Source organism: Homo sapiens, chromosome 2 (genome assembly GCF_000001405.40).
Source record: "Homo sapiens chromosome 2, GRCh38.p14 Primary Assembly".
NCBI lineage: Eukaryota > Metazoa > Chordata > Mammalia > Primates > Hominidae > Homo > Homo sapiens.
Genome location: NC_000002.12, coordinates 153,585,770 through 153,602,601, shown reverse-complemented (window position 1 = coordinate 153,602,601; position 16,832 = coordinate 153,585,770). Strand labels below are relative to the sequence as shown.

At 36.0% G+C, this 16,832-nt stretch overlaps 1 protein-coding gene across 5 annotated transcripts in view, besides 2 other annotated features; it reads right to left on the bottom strand.

Annotated features, from left to right (window-relative positions):
* The window catches only part of GALNT13 (polypeptide N-acetylgalactosaminyltransferase 13), a 1,388,282-nt gene that overhangs the window by 853,973 nt on the left and 517,477 nt on the right, over positions 1-16,832 (bottom strand). The window lies entirely within an intron of this gene.
* Positions 8,867-10,066: an enhancer, noted in NCBI's record as "BRD4-independent group 4 enhancer chr2:154449049-154450248 (GRCh37/hg19 assembly coordinates)". NCBI's record gives its function as "activates an origin of replication core promoter dependent on BRD2, P300/CBP, MED14 and CDK7 cofactors, and independent of BRD4, by STARR-seq in HCT116 cells {active_cell/tissue: HCT116}" and the evidence as "EXISTENCE:reporter gene assay evidence [ECO:0000049][PMID:35650434]".
* Positions 9,405-9,994: an enhancer, noted in NCBI's record as "H3K27ac-H3K4me1 hESC enhancer chr2:154449121-154449710 (GRCh37/hg19 assembly coordinates)". NCBI's record gives its function as "activates a minimal SCP1, AML or CMV promoter by ChIP-STARR-seq in primed H9 embryonic stem cells {active_cell/tissue: H9 hESC(primed)}" and the evidence as "EXISTENCE:reporter gene assay evidence [ECO:0000049][PMID:30033119]".

The window sequence follows — 16,832 nt, the reverse complement described above, 5'->3', positions numbered from 1 at the left end:
TACACTAAGAACTCTCTTAATCCAAGGATTCTGTACTTGTTGTTTCTTCTTCCTTAAAACGTCTTGCCCGTATGTCCACATGGCTAATTCCCTCACTTTTTCATGTCTCTCTCAAATCACCCCTTCCCAGTAGGGTATTATATGGTCTCCTAGTTAAAATTAACCACCTGCCCCCCTACCCACCAAACTAAATCTTGATTTCTGGCTTTATTTTTCTCTAGAGCCCTTTTCACCAACTACCACTATTGACATGACCTGTTTGCTTTAATTTCTGTCTTTCACAGACACCGTGAAAGCAGGGATTTGGAGAATTTTTGCTCACTACAAACTTAGTGCCTAAAATAGTACTTAGAAGATAGTAGATGGATAATAAGTATTTATTAAATAAATTAAAAACATGTTATATCTAAGACTGGAAACATAAAGCATGATCCATGTGAACTCTTCTTATCTGCTATTTTGTTTGCTAAGCCAGATACACAATAGAGGCTTGTTGATCTTTAAATCCCCATTTGCTCTTTGCCTTTCCCTATTTTTGCTCTATTTATGCGGTATCACAGATAAGTTGGATGAGAATCCACATTGGATTAAATATTTGCTCTTTTGAGAATTTGCCAATTTAAGCATTTTAATTGGCCTATTACACATGGCTGAATGAGTCAAGCGATTCACCATGGCTAAATCCCATTTGACTACATAGGGATAACGCACTATTTTAGCACTCTTTCTTGCCTAGATGTTTAAGATTTCTTGGTGTATATATTATCTTTGAATTTAAATTCTGCCTGCCATTTGGTAGTGTCTTTTTTAGCATTTTCCTTAGAGTAAGGAACATCTTTTTTGTGTGTCCATGTGAGACTAAAAAGTCATAGAAGGCCTAGATATACATAACATTTGTTGCTGTGTATCAAAATCATTTTCTGGTATTACAGTACATGTGCGGTCCTATTGTACAATATGCTTTCATTTCATTTATAACCACACTGAACAGGAGTGACCATGTGGAAATGAAAAGAGTTTGCCCTTGTTCTGCTTGAGAAATTGCATCTGACATGAAACGAAAGGAAATATGTGAGAATGTTGAAAAAAAAGAAAAATGGTGAAATTTGTAAGAGGGAAAAATGACATTCTTTGTTTCTCTCCTCAAGGAAAAATATTATCATATTCCTTACCAATTAGAAGTATTGGCATCATTTACAAGTTCTTTCTTATTATAGTTTGCTTCATATAGTTTACGTTCATTATGTTGTAAAGTCTCAAATCACTGAAGACAATATTTTGCCATCATTACTAGTACAAGCTCTGTTTCAGGAATATGTAACATCAAATTATGAAAGGAAAACTCATCAATGATTAAGGAGCTTAAAATAGAAAATAAATTCAGAAAGTAAGTTTCTAACCAATACTGTGCTATAAATTGACAGGGCAAAAAAAAAAAGCCTACTAAATAATGAAATTAAAAGAATGTATGTATGTTTGAATATACTGTGGTAAACATTTATTTTTCTCTTTAACCACCACCATCTTTGGTTAGTAATGTCTTGAATTTCTTTCCTGGAACCACTATTCCTCCAGTCATAATATACATATGAAATTAGATTTAACTCTTTCCCTGATTCTCATGTGTGTTTATGAGTTAGGATGTGCCTCTCTGTATATTTTGTCCTTCTGGCCACAATGATTGAATTAGGGAGGATTATTTCACATCATTCAAACCATTAAGCGTTAGATACAGCTATATTTAGAAGTCTCTCAGCCTATCTCAGCCAGGGATCCTCATCTGAATTACAGCACAGAAAATGATTTCAGCAACTGCTTTCCCAAAGATAGTACCCAAATTGTACCACCCAAAATACTGAGAAAGTTAATTCTTTACATAGCTGCATCTATTAATGTCTTAAGGCATCAGGATTTAAAGCTCTGAAATGAATCTCAGTTGTGAAAGACTGGAAGAGAAATTATTGAAAATATGGCGTTGGGAGGATGTAAAGCTTGATCAATTAGGATCTCATAGAAACGAAGCACAAATGCACTAGTGCAGACCCAGGAGTTGGAAAATGAACTCTTGCATAAGTATGTAGATCATGCCCTCTCTCAGTCTGGCACTATACCTGTCATATTGAGTTATATAAGCCAAACACTTCCTTTTAAGCCTACATCCATTCCAGTTGGATTTTCTGATGTTTGCAACAAAAGTGCTAATTGATATATTTAGATATTTACAAAAAGCAAAATGAATAATTTTTCAGCTAACTTAGGTGCAAAAGGTAGAGTTGGGTTTTGAAAAAAAAATAAAATTGCATGTTATATTTGAAAAATAAAATACCATTTTTGGATAGCATGAAATAAGAAATGTTTTACTCAACAGTTAATCCAAGATAGACAAAAATAAATGGGAGAAATGACAAACAGAGGCTGCATGTACACGGCATGAACTAAGCAAATGGATGACACACCTCAGCTCTGCCCCCTGGCCTCTATGGTTCTGGTCTTCCAGAGTTAGCTGAAAGGTAAATATATTTTTTAGTAACTAGGGCAGAGTTTCTCTAATCCTCTCTGCCTCGGGAGATTTGGATGGCAGTAGAGTGAAGATGAGGAAAGATGAATGTTTGCATGAAGTCAGTTCTGCTGCCTTATTAAGGCTGGTGGAGTCATACCCATCAGCCATCTTGATAATGTGGAAGTTCTTGACACAGCTTTGGTGGTTTAGTGTCAGCTCTGAGAAGAGGGGGAAAATATCCTACTCAAGAATTTATTTACATGTGATTTATGGAATGATAACAAGGAGATGCATAAATTATGTTTTTTCAGATACACCAGTCTAGGAACTAAAAACAACAGAATCACAATAATGTAAATACTATATATTATGATAATATGTCCAGCTACTCCAAACCCTTCCCTGATTATATCCAGGTGTCTCTTGGGGAGTTGTGTCTTGCTCTTTATCGTCTCAAAATGTAGTAATGAATGTGGTGAAACAGCTATAAGGCCTGAGAGACTACTAGTTATAAGGTCTGACCTTGGGTTCAAATCCCAGCCTTACCATCTACTAAATATACCCTCTTGGGCCAAGCAGTACAATGGACAAAATTTGCACTTACCCCATACAAAGTGATTGTTCTCCCTCATAAGTGGCTGCTAAAAACATGGATCTCAGGAAGATACACAGCAGAATGGTGCTTACCAAAGACCAAGAAAGGAAACAGGGAGGGAAGGATGAAGAGAGATTGATTAATGGGTACAATTATACAGTTAGATAGAAGAAATAAGACCTGTTTTCATTAGATCAGTAGGGTAACTATAGCTAACATTAACCTAGTATACATTTTGAGATAGCTAGAAGAGAAAAATTCAAATGTTGCTACCATAAAGAGATAAATAATTAATTTAAGATAATGGATATCCCAATTAGCCTGGAAAAAAATTTTGAAGCTTTACACTCTGCCAGATGCACAGCATGCAGTCAATTACTATTTGCTAGAATATTATTATAGTTGCTATTGATTCAAGCCTCACTGCTTTTGCTGCCTTTAAGTTTTAAGAACGAATACCATGGAAGATTGAGTTTCCTACAGGCTACTGACAGTACTATTCAAAAAGACATGTTTAGAAGGGAAATGGGTATGGAAAAACAAAAAGGAAGACACAAAACTGAGCCATTGGATAGAGAATAGTGACTTTATAAATCTGGCTATGAAAGTTTCCTGCCTTCAACTGAAAGAATTTTTCAGATATCACAATGTGCCACTCACAGAGGGTAAATCATTGAATAAAACCCTCTTTCTGCCCTTGGAGTCCTCACAGCCTATTTAAAAACAAAGAAATTTAAACAGCTATTACTAATATTCTCATAATGACATAACTCAGGAATAAAGTATTATTGTATAGTTTGTCTTTTTTCTTAAAAACTTATAAAAATTGATTTTACTCTGATTCAGTCAGTAGTACTGTGTACTTACAATGTGCCAGGCACTGTTGCAGGAGCTGTAGATATTGTTAGCAGTGGATGAGGCAGACAAAATCTTTGCCTTCATGAAACTGCCTTTAGTGGAAATGCAGCTATCATATAAATAAAAATAGAACATTTAGCATCATGTAGTGAAAAGTGCAATGAGAAAAAATAAAGCAGGAGAAGAGTAAGACAGGAGTTTGCTTTAGATAGGATGATAATTGAAGAAGAGACCCACCTGAATGAAGGGAGAGACAGAGCCATGCAAAGATCTGGGTAAAAGCTTTTTGAAGAAGGGGAAATGTAAGTACAAAGGCCCTGAGGCAGGAAAGAACTTGCTGCCTTCAGGGAAAACAAGGATGTCAGAGTAGCTGCAGTAGCAGATCCAGAAGGAGAATAGTAGGAGATGGGACTGGAGAAATTAGGCAGATATCTGGTCATACTAAAATTTACAGAAGGAAAGTTTGAATTTTATGCAAAGTGCAATAGGAAGCCATTAGAGGGCTTTGAGCACAAGAGTGGTATGATCTGTTTTGGGTTTACATACACACACATGCACGGGTACTGGTATTTAACAGTTTTATACTTCATATTTATAAACTCTATATTTAACATTTTAAGAACTGTGGAGCTGTTTTTCTAAAGTAGGTGTACCACTTTACATTTATACCAGTAGTATATGAGGGTTCTAATTTTTCCACAGCCTTGCCAATGCTTGCTATCATCTTTTTTTATTATAGCCACCTTAGTGGATATAAAGTTATATCTCATTATTTAATTTGAATTTCCCTAATGAATAATGTGTTAAGCATCTTTCCATGTGCCTATTGGCCATTACTTTTTTAGAGTTGCTCATTTTGAAATTGGGTTGTCTTTTTATTACTGAGCTATAAGAACATATATCCTGGATACAAGGTGCTTATCATATATATGATTTGCAAACATTTTCTCCCATTCTGTCTTTTTACTTTCTTGATAGTATCATTTGCAGCATAATTTTTCTTAATTATGATAAAGTCTAATTTATTTATTTTTTTGCTGTTTGTGCTTTTGGTATCATATCTAAGAAAACATTCTCTAACTCAAGCTCATGAAGATTTACTCCTCTGTTTCCTTCTAAGAATTTTCCAGCTTTAGCCCTTCATTTAGTTCTAGAATTCATTTTGAGTGAATTTTTTTAAAGATGTAAGGCAAGTGTCTAACTTTATTTTTTTTGCATGTGGGTATCCAGTTGTCCAGTACCATTTGTTGAAAAGATCATGCTTTCAACCATTTAATGTCATGACACACTTGTCAGATGATTTATACTTTTAAAAGATATTGTGGGACAGGATCAGCTTCATGCTTGTGTGATCTGTGCAGTTGCTCTGAGCCCTACGCTTAGAAGTGCCCTGTACTAGGCTTAATGCTCTGCTGTGACCGTACTGAAATACAAAATAATTTATTAATAAAAAGCCCACATTTTCATTTTGCACTGTGCCTGAAAATTATGTAGGCAGTCTGTTATCGGGAAAAGCAAAGGAGGCCAGAGTAGAAGCCTAGAAACCTTTTGTAAAAAAACTGTTGTAGAATAGAAATGAGAAAAGAATTCTTTGAATTTTTCTAAAATTTAGATTTTTGTCCTGTGCATAGCAATATTTTTCTCATTTTTCTGTTTGTCATTGGATTTTGTTTATGGGTGTTTTCCATATAACAGATATTTAAAATTTGTACCCCAATTTGTTTTTTAGTCTTCCTACATAATTTGTTCAAAAGCATATTTTAATTACTGCTTTGAAATAATTAGATTTCAATATATCCTAAAATTCTGAAATAGAATGTTATTATTTTCCCACTGATGAGTCTTTATTTGCATGCATATGTACACACATATATACATATGTGTATATATGTTAATCATTTTAATTACTGATTTTATTCTCAGTTTTTTTCCTTTTAGAGTTTTCCAGCATTATGTGCATATTTTTCTACATGAACTTTAAACTAATCCTGTCATGTTAAAAACATGTTATTTTAATTAAACAGAGAGATTAAATTGAGGTTAAAGATTAATTTAGAAACTATTGCCATGTTTATAATAATTTTCCTATCTAAGGAAAATATCTTTCCACTTAAATCTTTCCATTTAAAGACTTTTTTGGTGATCTTCGGCATGGTCTCCAAAATTTTCTAATTTCGATGTTGCAAATGTCATGCTAGGCTTATTACTAAGAGTAATAGATTGTGTTTTCAAAGGAAGCTGCAGAAAACATCTCTATATAACAGGTTATTCTGTGAGGTGTCTTTATTAAGTTGTCTGCATTAAGAAGTGGAGTTTTTGTCTCCACTTCCTGATGCTGGCTAGGCTCTCTGACTGATTTCATCAAAAGAATGTAACAAAATGAAACTGTGTTGGTTATGGGCATAGACACCTTATTTGGCTTAGCAGCTTCTACCTCTGTGATTTGGAACACTCCCTCTCAGAACTCAATCACCATACTGTGAGAAGCCTATGAAATCTGAGATGGAAGCTCTCTGGCTGTTAGCCACAGCTAGGCTTCCAGCCAATGGTCAGCTTCAACTGCCAGCCTTGTGAGTAAGCCATCTTAAATGATCAGCCCAGCTGAGCCTTCAGATGGTCATATACCCACCCAAGAACTAATCTTACCTGGGTGAAGAAATGCATGCAAGAACCACTCAGCTGAGCCACTCAGAATCACAAAATATAATAAGAAATGTGTTGTTTTAAGCCATTAAATATTTATACCACTTATTTTAGTTGCATGTCTAAATATATTGTTTGGTACACTCAGAACAAGATTAAACTACAGAGGCAATATTGGGCACATGTTTTATGGCTGACTTAAATGAAAATGATTCTAGTGGTTCATCTGATTTTAAACAAAATCATGGTAGGACAATTTTCATCTGTTCATATTTTACTTAGAGTTTTTCAATGGACTTTTTAAAAATAAGGGATAGATATTAAAGTTTAACAAATTTTTAAAGCATCTAGCTCATTTTGTAATAATTTTATTTCTGATGAATCTTTTTATATCGTATAGTTGGGTTTTATTATAAAAATCACTGTAGGAAAATTTCCATTCATTCTTATTTTAATTAGAATTTAATGGCTTTATGAAATAAGGAATCAATATAAAGATTTAACAAATTTTTAAAGATCTTCCTTATATTGAAATAATTTTATATCTGAGTTTTTTATATAACATAAAATTTTGTTTTATTATACAAACTGAGTGCCTTTTTATTTTAATAGATATCTTCTTTACATTTATTGTTATAAACAAACATTTAAATTTGGTCATTTCATTTTTTTAATTTTTAATCTTCATTTTTTTCCTATTATTTGGCACGTGGTCTCTATTATCTACTTTGAGTGTGATTTTTTTTCCCCATCAAATTACATTGAAGTTTTATTTTCTTCTTTTGATTTTGTAATGGATACTATTAACACTTCAAATCATATAAGTAAACCTTTATTTATTACCAACTCTAAAATATTTAAATACTACAAAAAAAGTACATTTTCTCCTATTTTTTCACTCCCTCCATGCCACAATATATTAACATTTTATATTTTGTCTAGAATTATGTCAGTTGTATTTCTTATGGATCCAAGATTTATTTTTGTAATTACTTAGATTTAGATTGAATTTTAGTATTCTTTCACATAGCTTCATCATTCCTGAGACTGTAATTTTGATCTGCTTATTGGTTGGCTGAAATTTGTAGTCAAATAGTTTTATTTTCCAAGGACTCATAAGTGCTATATACTTGAGATTTTTAATGCTTGAGAATGTATTTGTTTTAGCTAGATGACGGCAGAAGCGATTAGCAAAATGGATAATGAAAGATTACATTTTATGTTGCTTTTAACTTGTAAAACTATTGTGTTTACAATTTGTACTTAGAAAAACAGTCAGGGGACCCGCTTGAGTAAAAGCAGATAATGAGATAAGTTTTGAACAAATATATTTACCTTCATCATATACTTGATATGTTCAAAAGGAAATATAGGTCTGCAGTTAGGAAGAAATATCACAACTGAAAGGTAAAGGTATTAGAGTTTCAGCATATAGGTGCAAGTTGAATTTATTAGAAGAGATAAGATTACAAAAAAAATGAGGATAATTGAAAGATTTCTGTGCAATATGATCACTTAAAGGCAAGTGAAAGGGAGATCATGATTAGAAAACATAATCAGAACTAGGAAGAAACTCAGAAGATAGTATCGTGGAAGACAAGTCGAGAAAAAATGTTTCCAAAAGCCAAGTACAGTCACCCAAGGCAAATGTTATATAAATGATAATTAAGCCCTAGAATTTTTAATCAAAATGTAAACCTTCTTTGGTTATTTTTAGTCATTGGTAACCTTTATTAGAACAGTTTTAGAAGAGTGCTGTGAGCAAAATTGTGGCTTATAATGGGAATTAATATCCAGCAGCTGTGTATATAAGAGAGCATGAGGAAAGTAAAATACATAAACATTCAGGGGAAATGTTTTTCACATTCATTTGACTTTTAGATTTCAGAAAATTACCAAAGAAAAGGTAAACAAAAAGTTAGGTTTGACTTTATAAAATTAATAATAATTACCCTAATTAATGTAAATTGCCTGTCATTACTGGATAATTACCAAGTATAGAATATCTATGATGCATATTGTCAATGTGGGTCAGATTATTTTACGGCAAGTTATTGAGTTAAAAAGAAGCCCTTTTCATGGAGCTTCAGTCTTCATTGACTTCTGGAACATTACTCTCTGTACAAGATTTCAAAGAAGCAGAAAGGCCACTAGCTCCTAAGAGAGTTCTTATACCACCAGAAAATGGGTCAGTGGTTTATCAAGTCCAGTGATATTTTATGTTACATTTTAATGTAAACATTTGGTGTGGAACATTGAACATTAAAGCACTGAAGCATAATTTTTTAAGGAATTTGTGCTGTAAGAAAAAGAGATGTGATTCCTCTAGTCTCTTTCCCACCACCCTGATACCATCTTTCCTAAACCCCTACACCTCATTCCACCATGTAGAGATTGTTTACAAAGATGGCAAATGAACAAGTTTGTTGAGATAGGAAGTACTTGGCAAAGAATCTCAACAAAAGCAACAGGATTATTAAGATTGTTGCCCTTTGTCTTTCACTACCAGAGTGGGTAGGGAAGGACCATCAGGTTGGGGCAGGGCTAGGTGTGTCTGAGCTCACACGCTACTTGAATGGGTCTTGCTGTGGCTGCTGTGGGGGATGGGGGTGAGATTCCCAGCTCACTGGAGTTGTGTACCTAGGAGGATTATGGCTGCTTCTGCTGAGTCATGCAGGTTGTCAGGGAAGTGGAGAAAGCCAGCAGTCACAGGCCTCACTCTGCTCTCACGCAAACCGCAAACCGAAGGGCTGGTCTCACTCTCACTGGGTACCCCCAACAGCCCCAAGTCTGTTTACAGATGGTGAGCGAGATGGGCTTGAGAACTTGCCTCAGGCTACCCACCTCCCAGCTGCAAAAGAAAAGGGCTGTGAAGTCTGCACACTGGGATTTGCCCCCTCCCCCGAGTTCTGGCCATGAGGTTTCTCACCCTGTTCTCACCCAGTTCAAATTGTTACAAAGTTCACCTAGAGATTTCCTTCTTCCTGTGGCGCTTTATCCCCTGCTCCTCTGGCTTCCCTCCTGACGGATCTTTGTGATGCCAGGCAGGAATGAACTGTTTGGGGACCCAGCGAGTTCCCAGGGCCTTTCTGCTGCTTCTTCTACCCCTGTATTTCACCCGGCTCTCTAAATTGACTCATCTCAAGGTAAGGTCAGAAGCTTCTCTCGCAAACAGGCTTTAAGTTTCTCCACTGGGGGTGTGTGTTCCGGAGAGGAGGGTCTCCCTTTCCCACTTCTGCAGTTGGGGCACTCGCAGTATTTGGGGTCTCTCCCAGGTCCTTCAGGAAAAGTCCATTTCCTTCAGAGGGTCTGTGGGTCCTTATCCATTGTCTATAATTCCACTCTTTACATCAATGTGTGTACATTTTTTAGCACCCATTTATGAGTGAGAACATAGGATATTTGTCTTTCTGTGTCTGGCTTGTTTCACTTAAAATAATGACCTCCAGTTCTACTCATGGTGCTGCAAAAGACATAATTTCATTCTTTTATGGCTGAATAGTAATCCATAGTGGGTATATGCCACATTTTCTTTATCAAATCATACAATGATAGACACTTAGGTTGATTTCATTGATTTCATATCTTTCCTACTGTGAATAGTGCTGTGATAGACATTCCACTGCAAGTATCATTTTGATATACTGATTTATTTTCTTTTGAGTAGAAGACAAGTAGTGAAATTGCTGGATTGAGTTACAGTTACATTTTTTTGTTCTTTGAGAAATCTCTATACTGTCTTCCAGAGAGATTGTACTAATTCACATTCCTACCAACAATATATGAGAGTTCCCTTTTCACTGCATCCTCACCAACATCTGTTGTTTCTTGACTTTAATGCTAGCCATTCTGACTGTTGTAAGACGATATCTCATTGTAGTTTTAATTTGCTTTACTCTAGTAATTAGTAATCTTGAGCATTTTATATATATATATATATAATCTGTTAACCATTTGTCAGTTTGCTTTTGAAAAAATTCTGTTCATGTCCTTTGCCCACTTTCTAAGGCTATTATTTTTTGTTGTTATTGAGTTGTTTGAGTTTCTTGTAAATTCTGGATATTCGTCCCTCATCTTGGGAACAGTTTGCAAATATTTTATCTCATTCTGCAGGTTATCTATTTACCCTGTTGATTATTTCTTTTGCTTTGCAGAAGTTTTTTAGTTTATTTAAGTCCCATTTGTCTGTTTTTATTTTTATTGCCTGTGCTTTTGAAATCTTCATCATAAATTTTTTGCCTAATGTCCAGAAGAGTTTTCCCTGTGTTTACTTCCAGTGTTTTTACAGTTTGGGGTCTTACATTTAAGTCTCTAATCCATATTGTGTTGATTTTTGTATATGGTGAGAGATATAGATATAGCTTTATTCTTCCCCCATGACAATTTATTTTGTTCTGTTGATATATGTGTTTATTTTATAATAGTACCATGCTGTTTTGGTTACTGTAGCTTTGTAATCTAACTTGAAGTCAGGTAATGCAATGCCTCCAACTTTTTCTTGCTTAGAATTCTTTTGGCTATTTGGAGTCCTTTTTGGTTCCATATAAATGTTACAATTCTATTTTTCTAATTCTGAGGGAAATTATGGTATTTTGATAGGGACTGAATTGAAGCTATAGATTACTTTGGATGTTATGGTCATTTTAATGATATTAACTCTTCTGACTCATGAGTTTGGGATGTTTTTCGATTTGTGTCACCTACTATTTCTTTCATCAATGTTTTGTAATTGTCCTCTTAGAGGTTTTTTATCTCCTTGGTTAAATATATTCCTAGGTAATTTTTTTGTAGCTGTTGTAAATGTGATTGATTTCTTGATCTTGTCAGCTAGGTTACTGGTATATAGAAACATGACTGATTTCTATATGTCAATTTTTATCCTGCAACTTTATTGAATTCAGTGATCAAATCTAAGAGTTTTCGTGGTGGAATTATAAGGTTATTCTAGACATAAGATTGTACCATCAGCAAACAAGAATAATCTGACCTTCTCTTTTCCAATTTGGATGACTTTTTTTCTTTTCCTTACCTGATTTCTCTGGCTAAGACTTCTAGTACAATGTTGAATAGGAGTGGTGAAAATTAGCATCCTTATCTCATTCCAGTTTCTAAAGGGAATGTTTTCAACATTTCTCCATTCAGTGTTATATTGGCTGTGGGTTTGTCATATATGGCAATTATTACTTTGAGACACAATCCTTCTATATCTGGTTTGCTGAGGGTTTATCACAAAGAGATGTTGAATTTTATCAAATACTTTTTTGCTTCTATTGAGATGATTACATGGGTTTGTCCTTCATTCTGTTGATGTATGTACCAAATTTATTGATTTGCATATGTTTAACCACCCTTGCATTGCTGTATAAAACTTACTTTATTGTGTTTTTTAAAATGTTTTGTTGAATTTGGTTTTCAGTATTTTGTTGAGAATGTTTGCATATAGGTTCATCAGTATATTGGTCTGTAGTTTTTGTTGTTGTTTTTCTGTCCTTGTCTGGTTTTGGTATCAGTGTAATACTGGCCTCATTGAATTAGAGAGAATTCTCTCTTCCTTGATTTCTTGGAGCAGTCTCAAGAGGATTTGTATTAGTTCTCCTTTGTATATTTGGTAGAATTTGGCTGTAAATCCATCTGGTCATGAACTTTACTTTGTTGGGAGATTTATTACTAATTCAATCTCACTATTTGCTATCAGTCTCTTATAATTTTCTATTTACTTTTGATTCAATCTTGAGAGGTTGTATGTTCCCAGAAATTTATCCATTTCCTCTAAGTTTTCTAGTTTATAAGTGTATATATGTTCATAATAGTCTCTGATAATGTTTTCTATAACCAAAATAACAATTGTAATGCCTCCTTTTTATTTCTCATTGTAATTATTTGGGTCTTTTCTTGGTTACTCTAGCTAACCATTTATCAATTTCATTTATCTTTTAAAAAACTACCTTTATTTTATTTGGCTTTTTGTATTTTTTGGTCTCTAGTTGTGCTCTGATCTTATTATTTTCTTCTACTAATTTTGGATTTGATTTGCTCTTGCTTTTCTAGTTCTTTTGGGTACATTATGTTGTTGACTTTTAATTTTTCTGCTTTTTGATGAAGGCCTTTGATATGGTTTGGCTGTATTCCCACACAAATCTCATCTTGCTCATCTTGAATTCTCATGTATTGTGTGGGAGGATCTGGTGGGAGGTAAATGAATCATGGGGGCAAATCTTTCCCGTGCTGTTCTCGTGATAGTGAATAAGTCTCACAAAATGTGATGCTTTTATAAAGCAGAGTTCCCCTGCTTAAGTTGTCTCTGTTTGCTTGTGGCCATTCATGTAAAATATGACTTGCTCCTCCTTGCCTTCTTCCATGATTGTGAGGCGTCTCTCAGCCATGTGGAATTGTAAGTCCATTAAAACTCTTTCTTTTGTAAATTGCCCAGACTTGGATATGTCTTTATCAGCAGCATGAGAACAGACTAATAAAGTAAATTGGTACCAGTAGAGTGGGGCACTGCTGAAAAGATACCCAAAAATGTGGAAGCAACATTGGAACTGGGTAAAGGGCAGAGGTTGGAACAGTTTGGAGGGCTCAGAAGAAGACAGAAAATGTGGGAAAGTTTGGAACTCCCTAAAGACTTGTTACATGGCTTTGACCAGAATGCTGCTGATAATGACATGGACAATGAAAGCCAGGATGAGGTGGTCTCAGATGGAGAGGAAGAACTTGTTGGGAACTGAAGCAAAGGTAACTCTGTTCATGTTTTAGCAAAGAGACTGGCGGCATTTTGCCCCTGCCCTCGAGATTTGTGGAATTTTGAACTTGAGAGAGGTGATTTAGTGTATCCAGCAGAAGAAATTTCTTTTCTTTTCTTTTTTTTTTGAGACAAAGTTTTGCGCTTGCTGCCCAGGCTGGAGTGCAATGGCATGATCTCAGCTCCCGAGTTCAATCGATTCTCCTGCCTCAGCCTCCCGAGTAGCGGGGATTACAGGCATGGCTAATTTTGTATTTTTAGTAGAGATGGGGTTTCTCCATGTTGGTCAGGCTGGTCTCAAACTCCCAACATCAGGTGATCCACCTGCCTTGGCCTCCCAAAGTGCTGGATTACAGGCGTTAGCCACCATGCCCCAGCCTGCAGAAGAAATTTCTAAGCAGCAAATCATTCAAGGAGTGACATAGGTGCTGTTAAAGGCATTCAGTTTTATAAGGGAAGCACAGCATAAAAGTTCAGAAAATTTGCAGCCTGACAATGCAATAGAAAAGAAAATCCTATTTTCTGAGGAGAAATTCAAGCCAGCTGCAAAACTATGCACAAGCAACAAGGAGCCAAATGTTAATCCCCAAGACAATAGGGACAATGTCTCCAGGGCAGCTTCAAGGCAGCTCCTCCAATCACAGGCCTGGAGGCCTAGGAGGAAATAATGGTTTTGTGGGCCAGACTCAGGGTGCCCTGCATCCCAGCCACTCCAGCTGTGGCTTAAAGGGGCAAAGTAGAGCTTGGGCCATGGCTTCAGAGGATGCAAGCCCCAAGTTTTGGCAGCTTGCATGTGGTGTTGAACCTGTGAGTGCCCAGAAGTTAAAAATTGGGGTTTGGGAATCTCTGCTGGATTTCAGAAGATGTATGGAAATGTCTGGATGCCCAGGCAGGAGTTTGCTGCAGGGGCGGTGCCCTCATGGAGAACCTCTGCTAGGGCAGTGCAGAAGGAAAATGCAGGGTCAGAGACCCCACACAGAGTATTTACTGGGGCACTGCCTAGTGGAGCTGTGAAAAGAAGGCCACCATCCTCCAGACTCCAGAACAGTAGATTCACTGACATCTTTTACCCTTTGCCTGGAAAAACCACAGACACTCAATGCCAGCCCATGAAAGCAGCTGGGAGGGAGGCTGTACCCTGAAAAGCCACAGGGGCAGAGCTGTCCAAGACCATGAGAACCATCTTTTGCATCAGCATGACCTGGATGTGAGACATGGAGTCAAAGGAGATCATTTTGGAGCTTTAAGATTTGACTGCCCCACTGGATTTCAGACTTGCATGGGGCCTGTAGCCCCTTTGTTTTGGCCAATTTCTCCCATTTGGAATGGCTGTATTTATCCAATGCCTGTACCCCCATTGTATCTACGAAGTTACTAACTTGCTTTTGATTTTACAGGCTCATAGGCAGAAGAGACTTGCCTTGTCTCAGATGAGACTTTGGACTGTGGACTTTTGAGTTAATGCTGAAATGAGTTAAGACTTTAGGGGACTGTTGAGAAGGCATGGTTTGTTTTTAAATGTGAAGACATGAGATATGGGAGGGGCCAGCAGTGGAATGATATGGTTTGGCTGTGTCCCTACCCAAATCTCATCTTGAATTCCTACATGTTGTTGGTGGGACCTGGTGGGAGGTAACTGAATCATGGAGGAAGGTCTTTTCCATGCTGTTCTTGTGATAGTGAATAAGTCTCATGAGATCTGATGCCTTTATAAAGAGGGGTTCCCCTGCACAAGTTCTCTCTCTTTGCCTGCTGCCATCCATGTAAGACATGACTTGCTCCTCTTTGCCTTCTGCCATGATTGTGAGGCTGCTCCAGCCATGTTGAACTGTGAGTCTATTAAACCTCTTTCTTTTGTAAATTGCCCAATATCAGGTATGTTTTTATCAGTGGTGTGAGAACAGACACATACAGCCTTTAGTGCAAACTTCCCTCTTAGCACTGCTTTTGCTATATCCAAGTTTTGGTATGTTTTGTCCCCATTTTATTTATTTATTTTTTAATTTCTGTGTTAATTTTTTTTTTTTTTTTGAGACAGAGTCTCAGTCTGTCACCCAAGCTGGAGTGCTGTGGTGCAATCTGGCTCACTGCAACCTCTGCCTCCCAGGCTCATGCGACTCTTGTGTCTAGGCCTCCGGAGTAGCTGGGATTACAGGTGTGTGCCACTACACCTAGCTAATTTTTTTGTATTTTTAGTAGAGATGGGGTTTTACCACATTGGCCAGGCTGGTCTCAAACTCCTGACCTCAAATGATCCATCTGCCTCAGACTCCCAAATTGTTAATATTACAGGCTTGAGCCACTGTGCCCAGCCAATTTCTTTATTGACCCAATGATCATTCAGGAGCAGGTTAATTTCCATGTATTGGTACAATTTCCAAAGTTCCTCTTGCTATTGATTTCTAGTTTTATTTTACTGTGGTCTGAGAAGATATTTCATAAAATTTTGATTCTAAAAAATGTACTGAGACTTGTTTTATGGCCAGACATATGGTCAGTCTTAAGGAATATTTCATGCACTGATGAGAAAAGTGTATATTCTGTAGTTGTTGGGTAGAAAGTTCTGTAAATATCTGTAAGGCCCATTTGGTCTGAAGTTAAATTGAAGTTTAATGCTTCTTGGTTAATTTTCTGTCTAGATGATCTAATGCTGTGATTGGGGTGTTGAAGTCTCCAAATATTATTGTATTCCTCTGTCTCTCTCTCTCTTTAGGTCTAGTAATATTTGTTTGCAAATCTGTGTGCTCTAGTGTTGGCTGCATATGTGTTCAGAATTGCTGAATTAATCCCTTCATCATTACATAATGACCTTCTTTGTCTTTCTTTTTACTGTTTTTAACTTAAAGTCGATTTTATCTGATATAAGTATAGCTATTCCTGCTAACTTTCAGTTTCCATTTGTGTGGAATATCTCCACCCCTTTACTTTCAATCTATATGTGTCTTTATAGACAAGATCAGTTTCTTGTAAGCTGCATATATTTGGATCATGGTCTTTTACCCATTCAATCAATTTATATCTTTTAAGTGATGCATTTAATCCATTTATATTCAAGGTGAATATTGATGTGTGAGATTTTGTTCCTGTAATATTGTTAACTTTTTTCTAGTTGTTTTGTGAATTGTCTTCCTTTTTCTCTGTCTTTGTGGTTTTATGGAAGTCTGTAGTGGTGTCATTTGATTCCTTTCTCTTCCTCCTTTGTGTGACTTCTTTACCAGTGAGTTTTATACTTTCTTATGTTTTCATGATGGTGAATATCATTCTTTTGCTTCCAAGTTTAGGACTCCTTTGACTATTTCTTATCAGGTCAGTCTACTGGTGATGAATTCCCTTGACATTTTCTCATCTGAGAAAGGCTTTATTTCTTCTTTATTTATGATACTTAATATTTCTCCTTTATGATACTTAATATTTCTCCTTTATTTATGATACTTAATCTTGCCGAAACCAGAATCCTTGCCTGTTTTTTTTTCTGTCAGTACTTTGAATATATC